Source organism: Homo sapiens, chromosome 7, assembly GCF_000001405.40.
Source record: "Homo sapiens chromosome 7, GRCh38.p14 Primary Assembly".
Classification (NCBI taxonomy): domain Eukaryota; kingdom Metazoa; phylum Chordata; class Mammalia; order Primates; family Hominidae; genus Homo; species Homo sapiens.
The window spans coordinates 123,625,936-123,641,844 of record NC_000007.14 but is presented as its reverse complement, the minus strand read 5'-3'; the positions used below and the strand labels follow the sequence as shown (position 1 = coordinate 123,641,844).

General features: G+C 36.1%; 1 protein-coding gene across 12 annotated transcripts in view, besides 1 other annotated feature; it reads right to left on the bottom strand.

Annotated features, from left to right (window-relative positions):
- ASB15 (ankyrin repeat and SOCS box containing 15) overlaps positions 2,364–15,909 on the bottom strand; it is a 72,474-nt gene continuing 58,928 nt past the window's right edge. For 11 of the 12 annotated variants that reach the window (XM_011515819.3, XM_017011757.2, XM_011515818.3 and 8 more), the window contains 4 exons: positions 14,564–14,735; positions 12,411–12,981; positions 11,726–11,879; positions 2,364–5,036 (listed from right to left, as the gene is read on the bottom strand). In XM_011515819.3, coding sequence (XP_011514121.1) covers positions 4,864–5,036; positions 11,726–11,879; positions 12,411–12,981; positions 14,564–14,735 — 1,070 coding nt within the window. In that variant the 3' untranslated portion in view covers positions 2,364–4,863. The remainder of the gene's footprint in view (positions 5,037–11,725; positions 11,880–12,410; positions 12,982–14,563; positions 14,736–15,909) is intronic. The other variant, NM_080928.4, reaches the window with a different exon arrangement.
- Positions 12,294–12,851: an enhancer, noted in NCBI's record as "OCT4-NANOG hESC enhancer chr7:123269048-123269605 (GRCh37/hg19 assembly coordinates)". NCBI's record gives its function as "activates a minimal SCP1, AML or CMV promoter by ChIP-STARR-seq in naive H9 embryonic stem cells {active_cell/tissue: H9 hESC(naive)}" and the evidence as "EXISTENCE:reporter gene assay evidence [ECO:0000049][PMID:30033119]".

Here is a 15,909-nt window from a genome sequence, read left to right as displayed (position 1 = left end):
GCATTCCTAAGATTTTTTTTTTTTTTTTGTATTTTCAGATGTAATGACAATCTACAGTCATGTACCATACGACCAAGGTTCTTGACTTTTGCAGCTCTGACGTTGGCACTTCCACTATGTAGTAATAATGATGAGAGCTCAGGTTTCATGTGCACTTACTCTATATTGGATATAGTAGTTTAGACACTTAGTTCATGTCTTGTCCAAAACAAAGCAGCTAATAATTTGCAGAGCCTGGCTCAAAATGGCTCTTAGTCTGTTTTTATTTTTATATTTTAATGATACTATTTATCTGCATAAACTTAAGACACTGTAAAGGTAATTGATATCTTTTTTGGTATCTTTTTGTATTTTTTAAGTTGACAATAATTGTATATATTTATGGCATACAACATGATGCTTTGAAGTATGTATATATTGTAAAATGGCTACATTGAGCAAATCAACATATTCATTACTTCATATACTTTTTTTGGTGATGAAAACACAAAATCTACTCTCTTCGAGGTTCTCAAGTATACAATGCACTATTTTAACTATTGTCACCATGTCGTACAATAAATTTCTTGAACTTATTTCTTCTGAAATTGTGTATCCTTTGACCAACATTTCCTGAATCCCCTCACCTCCCGGCTGCTGGTGACCACCATTTTACTTTCTGCTCCCGTGAGTTTGCTTTTTTTAGATTCTACATATAAGTGAGATATTTGTCTTTCTGTGTCTGGCTTATTCCACTTAACAGGATATCTATTTAAGTACAAAATATGTGTCCTTGCCCACTGCATTACCTACAGTACTGCAATAACATGCCATACTTCAATGCATGTGTGTATGTCTATGTGTGTATTACATATGTATGTGTCATGTACTTGTGTGTATATATGTGTATAATGTGCATTTTGTTTCATAAAAACTTGAAGCAGCCTGCATTTTTAAAAAATAATTTCAACATTTATTTTAGATACAGGGGTGCATGTGAAGGTTTGTTACATGGGTATATTGCATGATGCTGAGGTTTGGGGTATGGATCCCTTTACTCAAGTAGTGAGCATAGTACCCATTAGGTAGTTTTTCAACCCCTGCCCCCTTTTGCCTTCCCCCTTCCCCCTTCCCCTTCTCCTCCCCCTCCCCCTCCCCCTCCTCCCCCTCCCCCTCCCCCTCCTCCTCCCCCTCCCCCTCCTCTCCCCCCTCCCCCTCCTCTCCCCCCTCCCCCTCCTCTCCTCTCCTCTCCTCCCCTCTTCTCCATCTAGTAGTCCACAATATCTATTGTTCCCATCTTTATGTCCATGTGTACTCAATGTTTAGCTCCCACTTACAGGTGAGAATATGTACTTGGTTTCTGTTCCTGCATCAATCCTTGCAGGATTATGACCTCCAGCTACATTCATGTTGCTGAAGCAGCTTATAATTTTTATATTCCTAAGTAATTTCTGATTGGAAGGTGGCTATATACATAAGAGTATGAAACTTGAAACCAAAATTTGCATAGGAATTTCTGGTAAAAGGTCAGTGACAAGAGAAAGGCTTACGTATGTTCTCTGTGTCATAAGATACTCCATCTTGTTAGAGTTTCCATACTGTCTGACCCATAGGTTCTGGTTGTTCAAAAGCCTGCATTAAAGGTGGTGTTACCTATGAATATTTGCTGCACATTGATACAATCGTTTTCACATCTTCTGCATTGACATCCTATTAACAGAAAACATGTTCTATGACTAATTAAAATGATTAAACCATATTCTTCAGGAGGCACTTGGTTTCAGTGTCCTTCTTAAAATTATCTTTAGCCAGAAATGGAGATCCTATTTAATGATGGCCTATGGAAAGATAAGACATGCTTAATGAGAGTTCAGATCTGCTTTTTTCCACCCGGACACTCTGTGTGATACAAAACAAAATCCACAGGGACTAAAACAGCCACAGACATCTTGGCAGCATGGGGGAAGATGGCATCCAAACTCTGCCATGTTGATTCCACAGTGGTTAGACAGGCTCCACTGTAGAATGTTTGGCTTCTCCTAATGCTGACTAGGGAGGAGCAGCTGTTACCCTTTCCCGGATAAAGTGACATACTCTAGAAGAAACAGAGTCCTAATAAGATGGAAATTAATTCCTTTTTCCATCCAGCCATCTCAAAAACAAACACACTGCTAGAAAAACCCAAAATATGGTGAGCAAAAGATCAAATCTGATTTAGATACAGCAATTGCTTCTTTTTCATAAGACACATTTTTCTCTTGCTTCATAAATGCCAAAAAGCCACTTTAAAAAACCCATACCATGTGCAGTTAATTCATATCTTTATATCCAAGTATTTCTTGAATATTATCTACACAAATATATATCAAAGAAAATGTCACAGCTTTAGTGAGCAAAAGTTTAATATATGAAGTATCATAAAGCAGACTTATAACCTCAATATGATTTTTTATTCATTAGAGTAATATTTTTAGGTAACAATACATTTAACCACGTCTAAGAGTGCAACACAAGAATAATAAAATCTTGTATACAAGATGTTGCAATTAAATATAAATACATTACAGTTTAACTTACATATAAAATATATCCTCTAGGGAATACAAGAAGTTAAAATTATAGCCCTAATTGTACGATTTTTTTCATACTTATTTATCTTTCAAAGGTAACTAAAGCTAAATACAACTTGAAAACTTTACAGACCAGTGAGATATTACTGTTTAAAGAATACGGTAACAAGGTAAAAATAAATATAAGAAAAATACACTATTAAAATCTAAGAATAATAGCATTAAATAATTACAAGATTACATAACTCACTCAGAAATTTAAAACTATTATTTCACCATGATGTCACTGATTATTTTTGTCACTTATTCAATATATTTCAACAAACAATTATTGAACTCCATGCTCTAGGGAATGTGTTTGGCCCTGAGAAAGCACTGGAAAACAAAACAAACATAGAACCTACCCTCATAGAGCTTATAGTCTAGTGGGAAGACAGCAGGGAACACAGGCATCTATAATATGGCATGACAAGTTCTGTGCTGAGGCTTCCCATCCTAGAGGAAGCAACATCTCAGCTGAGACCTATAGGGTAAGTGGGAGTTGATCAGGTGAAAGGGTGCAAAAAAAGCGGAAAGAGAGTTCCAGATGAGAGAAGGAAATGCGAAGACCCTGAGGTTAAAAGAGAGCATGGTCTATTCTACAGCAGAGGTTCCCCATACAAAGGTCCTCAGATATTTGATGGCCCACAGTGAAATTCTCACTCGTCAATGGGGAAATGAGAGCAGTGTGAGGTCTTTTCAAGGTAAAAGTCATTCAACTTGAATGACTGAATTTATGACCATCTTACTTTCTGGCATTAAAATGACCCCTCTTTTATGAAATGATGGTGATAGTAGATGGTATTTTTTAATGACTCTTTTTGAAAAATAAACACAATAAAACCTATTAGTGTATGACACCTTGAAGTCTGGGAATCAGTGTTTAAAAAATAAAATTCTAGAAGGTTCAAGGGAAAGGAGGAAAGGTAGACATCCAGAGATGAGGCTAAAGAAGAAGGCAGGAGTTAGATCATGAAAGTTCAAGTAAGAACTTTGGAATTTAAGAGCAATGGGAATGATCTTAAGCAGAGAAGTGAAACTCTATTATATTTGTAAAAGACTCTTCTGAGATGCTGTATGTAGAAAGTGTTTGGGACAGGGCAAGACAGAGTCAGGGGAGCCAGATAAGCAGCATTGTATTATCCCAGGAAAAAGAAGATAATAGACTTAGGGCCAAATGCGGGGTGGGTGGTGGGGGGCTGCTGAGTGGAAGATGACTTCAGGAGATAAACTTAATAGGATTTGGTGATTTGTCTTATTGGGTGAGGAAAATGGGATGGTCAAACCTAATGTCCAGGCTTTTTTCTTTGGAAACTGAATTGAGCATTGTGCTAACTACTGAGCTCGGGAAAGAGGTTTTTTTTTTTTTTTTTTTTTTAGTTCATCTGGGGACATGTTGAATTTGAGGTGTCTTTGTGTTCAAATGTTCATGAGGCCAATTGTCTACATAGGTCAGGAGAACATGAGAGAAAGAGCTGAGCTTTGGATGGAAATTTTGTAGTCTCTAGCAAAATGATTAAGACCATGGATGTGGATAAAATATCCCAGAGAACAAAGCAAAGAGGGCTTAGGATATATAACTTAAAGAACAAAGAGAAGAGGGCTTAAGATATATAACTGTAAGATTGGCTAGAGATGAGCTAGGCAGAAAGAAGCCAGAGACAGAGTGTCCAGGGAGGTGGGAGGACACCCAAGAGAACAGGTTTTGCGAGAAACAAGGAAAGAGATATCATTTCAAGCAAGGAACAGGCAACAATGTTAGATGCTGTAGGAATCGATTGGAAGAGGGACTGAAGAATGTTCACTGAATTTACCAACAAAGAGATTGTCAGGGACCTTGAGAAAAGCAGTGGAGGGTCAGATGCCAGATCACAGTCTGTGAACTTACAGGCAGGAGGAGCTCTTTTACACAGCAAGACCGTGAAAGACAGGAGAATCTGGCCAGCAACTGGCAGATGTGGGTTTGAGAAAGTGGTTATCTGTTTTTTAAACATAGAGACTTGATTGTGGATATTGTAGGAGCCACTTGATAGGGAGAGTTTGATGACTTGTAGCAAACAAAGATACAAATCTAAGTTCAAAATACTATCTTTAAAAAATGCAAATGTCTTTAAAGACATAAATCATGGTGTTCCCATAAGAACACATGATAACCTATAAAACTGTCAATGAATTTAAATACACTTTACAATTAAGGATGTAAAATGGTTACAAGAAATTATCTGAGGGAATCACATTTCAACATTTTTTTTAAATCACATTTTAAAATATTAAGTTATGTCAATTTTAGCTCTTGTCCATAGAGATCATACTCTTTAAATAATATGTATCTTTGAATAGCTGGTGGTAGAGGAAGCTTCTCCACTGAGGCTGGCTGGCAGAGTTTCTGGAGACCCATAAGCCTTCGAATTTTTAACCGACACAAATGCTTCAATGAACAAGGATTCTCTAAAAGAAATCGGGAAAATAAGCAAAAAAATTTTTTAAATAGTGGATTGGCCCCTAAGATATGACTGTTTCAGAATAACATGAGTAGTGTATTCTCAAAAACATGTATGCACACTTTAGCAACTGGTGATTTTAAGTGAAATTCAAATTGTAATTGAGCATTCTAGTCTACTCCTCTAGAATGTAAGCTCCATGGGGGCAGAAATTTAGTCTGTCTCTGTGCCAGGAAGAGAGTCTGGCTCATGGTAGGTGTTCAACTAGAATTTGTGGAATGAATAAATGGACTGAAGAAAGCAAATGCTCACATCTCTTCTTTATTTTTTAGAGCTAAGTATTATAGAGCTAAATATTATATATTTCTTTACTTTCTTTCTCCTACCAATCTGTCTGATAAATAACTATCCATGAAACATCGACACAGATGATTCCATAGATCATGAATAATCCAATCTGAGTTTTGCTTCCAGTGTCTAATACTTAAACCTTGTATATTCTCAAAAAATATACTAACATTATTTAAATATCTGATATTTTCAATTCTTACTTTATCTATATTATAATTGCAAGATTGAGATTTTATAGCAGCAATATGAATGAATGAAGGAGCAGCATAGCATTCAGGCTTAGATGTGCACTCTGGACCTGGTCAGCTTGGATTAAACTCCCAGCTCTGCCCCTTAATATTTGTGTGACCTTGGGCAAATCGCTTAATGTCTGTGAGTTTGGTATTCTCATCTGTGAAATAAGGATAACAACAGTACTTATCTCGTAGGGTTGTTTGAAGATTAAACAAATCATGTAAAGTATTAGAAAAGTGCTTGGTACATTGTAACCATTCGATAAATATTAACTGTCATTCAGTGCAATAATAAACATGATCACATCTCTATTACATTTGATGATATAAACAATTTATCTTTTAAAATTAAAAACAATGTTCTCAAAAATTATTGATGCAACATTACCAAAATAAGCAAAACAAAAATCTAAAAAATAGACAATTTTTTTTTTTCCTAACCAATATGCTGCCTTACAGATAGCTGGAGGACTCCTGACATCCAGTGGTTAATCACACTCATAGCAATCAACTGGCTTCGACTCTAGTTGCAGTAAAGTATGATGGAAACAATAAAAAAAACTTCCTGGCCTTATTCTTACTTGGATTGTCTTTCTAAAGTCATCAGAATTAGTAAGTATTTTGCAAAAAAAAAAAAAAAAAAAAAAAGCAATTAATTTCCATTTAAAAGCAAAGTCTATTCTTTCTATGACAGGAAGTATAATGGTATTGTAGAGTCTGTGTTTTCAAGTAAGACAAACAAGGGTTCAAATCTTCACTTTGTTATTTTCTATGTCTATTACTATGAGAAATTAACTTATCTAAGCCTCACCATTTTTCTCTGTCTTGCAATCTCCAAGCTAAAAAAGAGACGGTTTTAAGCTTTTTATTGCAAAATAAAATAAAGAAAGTACACATGTATAGTTTCATAAGTTATGTAAGTAATTATTAGTCGAACATCTATAATCACCTCCTAGGTCTATAGGAAATAGAACTTTGCCGGAGACCAAAGAAATTCTTCTACAATCCATTCTTCTTTATTTCTTTCTCCTACCATAAATAACTACTATTCTGAATGGTAATCACTTTCTTTAGAGTTTCATCATCTAAGTGCACTATCCCTGCACTATAGTATTGACAGTACATTTTTAAAATTTTTGCTATGTCCTTTAAGTCTTTTCTAATCTGCAGGTTATTCTCTCCATCCCCTTTTTGTCTTTTCAACTAATCTTTGAAGAACCCAAATGCCCTTTAGTTTCCCACAGCCTGAACTTTGCTGATTGCATTTCCATGGTGCAGTTCCATGTCCCACTGTCTCCTCTACTTCTTGCAAATTGATAACTGGATACAGAGACTTGATCAGGCTCGGGTTTGATCTCTTTGGCAAAACTATATCAGGTTCTGTGTTCATTCTTTGGGGGCTACATATTAGCAGCTGTTGATGCTCATTGACTACATCCATTAATTTATCGGAGGCTATATAATGGTGATAACTAATTATATCTTTTTAAATTATTTAGAATACTTTTATAAAGGAATGCTTTTACTTATCTACTCTTTAGTTACTAATGGCACAGTTTATACATATACATATATGTAAAGCAGAATAAATGCTTAAGTCTTTCTTTTATCAGTTTTTAAGATAATGAGTTGATTTTCTATCATATTCTGGAGCTGACCAGTTTTTTTTAAAAATTGTATATTTAATAAAACATCCTATTGTAAAGATACATGCACACGTATATTCATTGCAGCCCTATTTGCAATAGCAAAGACATGGAATCAACCTAAATGCCCATCAAGGATAGACTGGATAAAGAAAGTTTGATACATATACACCATGGAATACTGTGCAGCTATAAAAAGGAATGAGATCATGTCCTTTGCAGGGACATGGATGGATTTGGAAACCATTATCCTCAGCAAACTAATGCAGGAACAGAAAACCAAACACTGCATGTTCTCACTTATAAGTGGGAGCTGAATGATGAGAACACACAGACACATGGAGGGGAACAGCACATACTGGGTGGGGCCTGTCGGGGGGGTGGCTGGGGGAGTCTGAGCATCAGGAAGAATAGCTAATGGATGCTGGACTTAATACCTAGGTGATGGGATGATCTGTGCAGCAAACCACCATGATAAATGTTTACCTGTGTAACAAACCTGCACATTCTGCACATGTACACTTAAACTTAAAATACAAGTTGAAGGAAAAAAAACAGAAAAAAACCCACCAATCGTATATTTAAATAGATTGGCTTCAATTCATTGAAATCATTACCCTTTTTGAAACTTAAATTGTCCCATCTTTGGCCAGTTGGAGCCTCTTCAAGTTAGCCCCTGAATTCTTTTGTCATGAATCATGTAGTCTTTCAGAGTTTCTTTGCTTTCTGGTATGACCAGATGTTCCAGGTTCATCTTATTCATTTCCTTCCCCAGATACAATCATCCATTTCTCAAAAACAAAACAAAACAACCTCCAGCAAAAACCCTGGTTTCTTTTGTTAGGAAATGGCATTTCCAGGCCAAAATCTGGGTCGTAGGAATGCTCATTGCTACTGGGTTCATCATTATTTCTAAGACTTATCTGTAAACAGACGCACGTGCGCGCGCGTGCACACACACACACACACACTCAGCATAATCCACATGCACACAGATGCTTTCAAGATAAAATAGCTTATGAGTTTATATTGTTATTTCTAATTCAAATTCAGGACTACAGGATTTCTCTTTAATCTCTTCTCTATTACATCTGTATTTTCTTTCTGCCACACTGACAATCCTTGGTTTCAAGGATACAAAGAGTAATGGAATTGGAATATTCCTTAATTACTCATTTACTGAATATATCTCTCATCCTCAGCATAACAATATTAATATTATATCACTATCAATATTTTAAGATATTTAAAAATATGTATTCTAATTATTAAATATTATTTATTTTATCTATGTACTAATATTCAAAAATAAATAATTGTGCTGTATCTATTTTATCAGAGCATATAACCATTATGTATTGCATCTTCTCCCTTTTAACTCTCACTTAGTCTTGGCATTCTGTTTAGTGTTAGCCTTGTTTAATACTAGTCCTCATGGTGATATCTCGCTAATCATTTTGGGTTGTCTAAAGGCCATTTCTTAGTGGATCCTTTGGACGTCAGCAAGAGGAACAATATTTCCTGAGTTCTTGCATGCTGACAACAGTTTGCCTACATTGATCATTGGAAGTCAATTTTGCTGTGTAAGCATCCTTGCCTCACATTTTCCTTCCAAGGAGAGTCTTAAATATGTTACTCCATTGTCTTTTGGCATAAAGTATTGTTGATGAAAAGTTTAATAATAATCTATTTTTTTCTCTTATAAGTCACTTGTTCTTTTTGCCTATGTGCCCAAAGGATATAGTATTTTATATATTATAGTTTCAAATCTTTCTTTTTTATTACAAGTTTTTCTTGAAACTTAGTTTTTTGTATTTCTTATGTTCCCTTGATTTGGTTTTCCTTTTCAAGGAATCCTATTATCCATATATTGACTATTCATTGTCTGTCATCAATGTTTTTAGCTGTCTTTCAAATCCTTTTATCTAAGCTACAGGGATGCAAAGGCATAAGAATGATACAATGGACTTTGAGGACTCAGGGGGAAGGGTGGGTCAGGGATAAAAGAGTACACATTGGGTACAGTGTACACTGCTTAGGTGATGGGTGCACCAAAATCTCAGAAATCACCGCCAAACAACTTATCCATATAACCAACACGACCCGTTCCCCCAAAACCTATTGAAATAAACAAATATACATATTTTAAAATCCTTTTATCTATTTCTTCGTTTATATTTGATTTACAATTTTTCTTCCATATCCTCTTTTATATCTCTCAATGTATTGTCAACTGTGTTGCTAGTTCTTGTTTTCATTCTAGTTCAGTCTTCACATTTGACATTAATTTTTTCTAATTTTTATTCCTAAATCTTTCCTCAGTTGTTACCTGATTTCTGAATTTTTCAAATTTTGACTCGTATTGTTCTTTCATATCTGATATTATTTTCCTCATGCTTTTTAGCTCATTTTTGAAATAGAAGGTTTGCATTTTTTAAGTTATGTATTCATTGCCCGTGGGGATATTATTCTGTTCTTCTTTCTATTATTATTATTATTATTATTTTTGAGATGGAGTCTCGCTCTGTCGCCCAGGCTGGAGTGCAGTGGGGCGATCTCGGCTCACTGCAAGCTCCGCCTCCCGGGTTCACGCCATTCTCCTGCCTCAGCCTCCTGAGTAGCTGGGATTACAGGCGCCCGCCAGCACGCCCGGCTAATTTTTTGTATTTTTAGTAGAGACGGGGTTTCACCTTGTTAGCCAGGGTGGTCTCGATCTCCTGACCTCGTGATCCGTTCGCCTCGGCCTCCCAAAGTGCTGAGATTACAGGTGTGAGCCACCGCGCCCTCTCTGTTGCTCATTTTTATTTGCATTTAGTTTTCTTGACTTTTTAGAAGGATGCTTGGTTCCAGATAGCTCTTCTAACTTTGCAGAGCTTCTTACTCTATTATTTTCTTGCAATGACTCAAAATATGGTGGTTAGATCTCTGAGGTTTCCTGGCTCTGTTTGCCACCCCAACTTTTTTGTGGGTCCTTTCTTGTTTCTGTCCTGCTCGATTTTTGATTTTACTCTCAATGCGGGCTTAAGTCCAGGAAGGGAACTTAGAGAAGTGGTTTTCAAGAATGCATAGGGTCTAGACTGTTTTGTAATTTCCCTTAGGCTTAGCTTTTTATTTGTAAAAAATAAGCATGATAATACTTTACAATATTTCATAGCACACTGTACATATACATTTCAGATACCTCACATAAACTTACCATGTAGTAAAAACATAAAAATGTTAATACTTTAGTTTTAAAACTAAATAAATTTATTAAGTAATTTAAGTATTCTAGACACTACCACCTTATATGCATTATTTCTTTAGATTCCCACAACAACTTTATGAGGTTAATACTATCTTACATCTACTTTGCAATGGGAAAACCTAGGCATAAGAAGAATAAGTAACTTGCTCAAAGTCACACAACTAGGATGGCTATCTTGGTCTTTTTATAGGAAATAAAAAAATCCTCCTCCACTTAGAGAAGCAAAAATGGTAACAATAAATTGTTGCTTTTTATCATGAAAACATCAGTCCTGAATTACATATGCATTTTATAATCTAGCAATCCTACTCCTAGGCAAGGCCAGAATTTCATTTCATTCTAGGTCTATCTGACCCCAGAGCTCAATTTCTGGGCTAACAATACTATATTACTCATCAGATTCTCCAAGACTCCTGTTTTAGTTGCTGCAAAGTCTCTTCTATTATAGAACTAATTCCAGGGGAAGGCTGATTCAGGTACATTAAAAATGTCAAATTATTTAAATGTCATATAAAATTCTATAATGCTTCTTTAGGCTTCATGAAATTGATGTCCAACTAGGTTTTGAAAGTTTATTTTTCCAAACTTATATTTTGAAAGTGAAAGCATCTCAAATCTATGATATTTTTCTGGTTTTTATTTGTATTTGCATTATTTAAAAATGTACTTTCATTGAAACTTGTATTATTCATTTTCATGGTAAACTTTCACCTAGAAAAGACAAAATGGCCTGTCTACAAATACTAACCTTTGATGGTAGGACTTTGTCAATAAAGACCCCAGAGAAAGCATGTCAAAAAGAGTAATTCTAATCCCTGCTGTTCATTCATTTACTCCATATTTATTGAAATGTACTACTTACTAGGCACTATGCTAAGCCTTGCAAATATAACAAGAAACAAAGTAGATCTCTACCCACATGGAGCTTGCAGTCTACGTATTGTATGATATTATAGAAGTTAATTTTTAAAATGAATTGTAATCAGAACGTTAATATAGCTGTAGTATTACTCATTATACAATTACAAAGCTGGAAAATATAAAGAAAAATGAAAATATGTATCTTACAACAGAGGAAGTGTTAAGGATGATTTTAAAACCCAGATAATTCTGGAAATACAGTAGAGTAGCATAGGAAAAGTATCAAAGAAGACATTAAGAAATTTCCCCCATATAAGTTCTTAATTTAAAAATTGTAGGCAAAACTTTTGGTTTTTACCTAGTATTTGGCGGATTTCTGGCCATTCTCTCTGTACTTCTAGTGCAGACTTCAGTTTAGCACACAGAGGAACATAATCCATGTAATCTATTAGTACACGAGTAACTCTGCCTACCAAGTGCTTCATCCAAGGAACTGTAATAAACTCACAGAACTGAGAGAATTGATAAAATTTAATTTAGTAGTATTTTTAATATCATATACATAAACACTCAATTGTGTTATGGAAAAATTACTCTGTTTTACTACAGAAAATAAAAGATCTCTCCTTGTAATGAACAAAAATTAAAAATAAATTGTTTGCTTCTCTCTGTGAAACCATCAGCCCTGAAGACTCGCCTGGCTCTGATGTGATTGTAGTCAGCAAAGCATGGAGAAGTCATGCTTCTTCCCATCTGGCCCCAATATTCTACCAAACAGGCAGAAGTGACTAATTACATACATTTTCACATTCTTCTACATTCAGTTTTCAAGTCAAGAAAAAACAAACAACATATTTTTGGGGGAGAGGTTGGGGGGCTAGATTTATGCTTATATCCCTGTATCATTGCATACAAAAATTGAAAAAACAAGAAAAATAGAAAAATTAGAGTTTATTTTTCTTTTCTTGTAACATCCCTAATTGAATGAACATGTATTAAATTAGGATGATAACTCAATATAAAGCAGAAAAGGCATAACTCACCGGGTTATCTTTTATTACACAAGATGTCCATCCTGGCAGCACCTCTTCCTGTATCTCTGACCACACAAATGAATTTCCAAAGATGTCACCATGCATGCAGTCAAAGCACATCTCCACTTGATAGCCATTATTCAGCAATAGCCTCAGCATTACCTCGTCGTTTAGAGCATATTGAATGACACTGGGGAAACGAGTGTCATTCACATGCATAAAATAACAATTGACATTAGCTCCATGGGAGAGAAGCAGCCTGACAATTTCATAATTATTGGCCCTCACTGCAACAAGTAGACAGTTGAGGGGATCTAAGTTTGGGTCTGCACCTGCAGCCAGAAGGACTTCTGTGCAATGAACGTCATTATTAGAAACGCCAAAATACAGCGCAGTCTTCCTCTCATCGTCATAGCTCTGGGAAATGTGGTCAGCAAGTAGAGTGTTGACATCAAAACCATTTTCAATGAGCAGTTCTAGACACTGTGCATTTTGTCCATCTGCTGCTGAGTGAATTGGTGTTAGCCCACTTTTCCGAATTGCATTTTTAGATGTTACTGGGATAAGATATTTCAGTGCACTAAAAGAAAAAAGTCAAATATCTACTTGCCATAAAGAAAATCAAGAAATTAAATAAACTACCGTTCTCACTAGATAAGTGAATGCAAGTTGTATAGTTTCCCTTATTTTCTCTAGATAACTTTATACTGAAACATTTAACCTTTGTCTGCCGAGGTACAACTATTTAGTTTAGTGTAATGTAGCTCAGTTTTGATTTAGCTTTTTGTTCTAAATATTCCTGGGAAACTGCATCTTATATGTTTTTTCCTAGAATTGTAGTTCCTCAAGAACACGCCCCATCTTCCAATTCTCCTCTGAACAATATAATATTTACAGGCAACCAATACTATTTTTAAAAATGTAGAAGAAAAGTAAGCCTTTCTAATGCCACAGAGGAATGCTTCATAATCTTGACCATTAGGATCATGGGGTGATAGGAAGTGACCCTGGATGTCATTCAGTCCAACTGCTTCATTTAACAGAAGAACAATCTGAAGTCTAGAGAGGCAAAAAGATTGTCCAAGGTCACACAGTTAGACGCAGAGCAGGACAAGAATTTGGGCCTTTTCCAATTCTCATGAATTATTCCTCTTTCACTGATTCCTACACAATCTATTTTTTAATATTGACCATGAACACTCTGTCTGCTTCCATATAACTTGCAATTGAATTATTAGCCAAAAGAAGAGTCTTTAGTATTCCATCAACCTTGCATCAGTCCAATTGAGATAACCAGCCACAGTTTATGTTTCTAAGTACATGTGATATAGTTGTGAGTTTCACACTTGACTAACCAGCCAGACATGTATGAGAGTCACAGGCAAGGAGAACCTGATCTCTTGTGTCTACTGTTGTGAATTTATGAACACTGGGAGTAAATCCAGGTAAACTCTAACAACATGTCACTTAGCATCAATTATGCGTCACTGGCCACTTAGCCAATGGCCCACTGAAAACTATAAAGCCCGATTACTTCAAAGTTTTTGAGCTTATGAAATATATTTAATTGCCTAAAACCATCTTCTCATGGTGGGTAGTTTAATATAGGGATCTAGACTTCTACCAATGTGTTAATTATGTACATTTTGTGATTTAAGAATCTATTCAACCGTTCGTATGGAATAAAAAATTATAAACTTATAATGAAACTTTTCTATTCAACAATACATTTGACATTATACTATAATATCCTGGAGATGTTAGGAAATAACTGGAATAACACTGATAGTATTGCTACAAATTTTAATCCTTTGTCAAGGGCAAAATTTTTAGAAACTGTAGCCTTTTGTTAAATACATTTGTAAACAGAAAGGCACTCTTGAGTGGCTTGTGCAGAATTCTCACTTATGCCTTAATTCCTTCTAAAAGAAAATTTCTTTTCATTATAAAAGTACTATAAATTCATTTTTTGGAAGTACAAGAATATCAAAAGGAGGAAAATTAAATAAGTTCTAAATATCTAAATTTGGAGCATCAAAACCTGAAGATTATGCCTATTTCTCCTTGGATTTTGAAAGGTATTACATATAGACTTGTGATTATACTGTATATACAAATTAGCATTTTTAACTCAAATAATTACCCTATAATTTATCACTCACAGATAATGCCCCTCATAGGCAGCTCGGTGTATAGGAAGATGTCCTGCTCGGTTAGGTACATTTCCGCTTCCTCCATATTCCAGCAGGAGGGAAATGCAGTCGGGATTGCCACCTCCTGCTGCCTCAAACAGCACCGACGCCCCATCATCCGCCAAAGCAAGCACATCACCACCTGGCAGTATAAAACGTGGCATAATGATAACTGGATGGTATTGTTTAAACAATCCCCTTAAAAACAGCCTGTTGTGGGGCTGGGCATGGTGGCTCACACCTGTAATCCCAGCACTGGAGGCTGAGGCGGGCGGATCATGAGGTCAGGAGTTCGAGATCAGCCTGGCTAACATGGTGAAACCCTGTCTCAACTAAAAATACAAAAATTAGCTGGGCACGGTGGCGTGCACCTGTAGTCCCAGCTACCCAGGAGTCTGAAGCAGGAGAATCATTTGAACCTGGGAGGTGGAGGTTGTGATGAGCCGAGATCACTCCACTGCACTCCAGAATGGGCAACAGAGTGAGACTCCATCTCAAAAACAAAGAAACAAACAAACAAAAAACCCCCACAAAACCTGTTGTGTTCCTTTCTGGTTAGTACTTAAAAAGTATAGAATTAAGGGCCTCCATGTTTTCTATACTTTCAATAAACAGTCATGCATGCAGCATGGTTTGTTTTATTAAAATCTTTGGGCCAAAAATCATGAGAGAAACTAAGTCAATTTTCATGACAGGCAAATTCTTCTGAAAAAGGCTCATTAGACTTTTTAATTTAAAGACAGTAGTTTCTTATTTTATTTATTTATTTATTTATTTATGTTGACAGAATCTCACTCTGTCGACCAGGCTGGAGTGCGGTGGTGTGATCTCAGCTCACTGCAGCCTCCGCCTCCTGGGTTTAAGCAGTTCTTCTGCCTCAGTCTCCTGAGTAGCTGGGATTGCAGGCATGTGCCACCACAGGGTTTCGCCATGTTGGCCAGGCTGGTCTTGAACTCTAGGCCTTAAGTAATCTACCCACCTTGGCCTTCCAAAATGCTGGGATTACAGGCATGAGCCATGGTGCCCGGCCCCCTCTATTTTAACTTAACAAATACTTACAGTTAATAAAGTATTAACAAATACTTTATTGCCCTCTATGTGCAATCAGTGTGTGTGACCCTAAGAAGAATAAGTGTGACTACTCTAAGGAGCTTAGAGGGGAAATGAAACAAAATATCAGACAGCACAAACTGTATGATATTCCAGTGACACTGACATTAAGACAAGGAGACATGATGTAGGGGACTGTGGCTCTGCTGCTTATGGTGAGAGCTGGGGGCAAGCCGTTTACTTCCGTGCACCTCCATCTCCACATC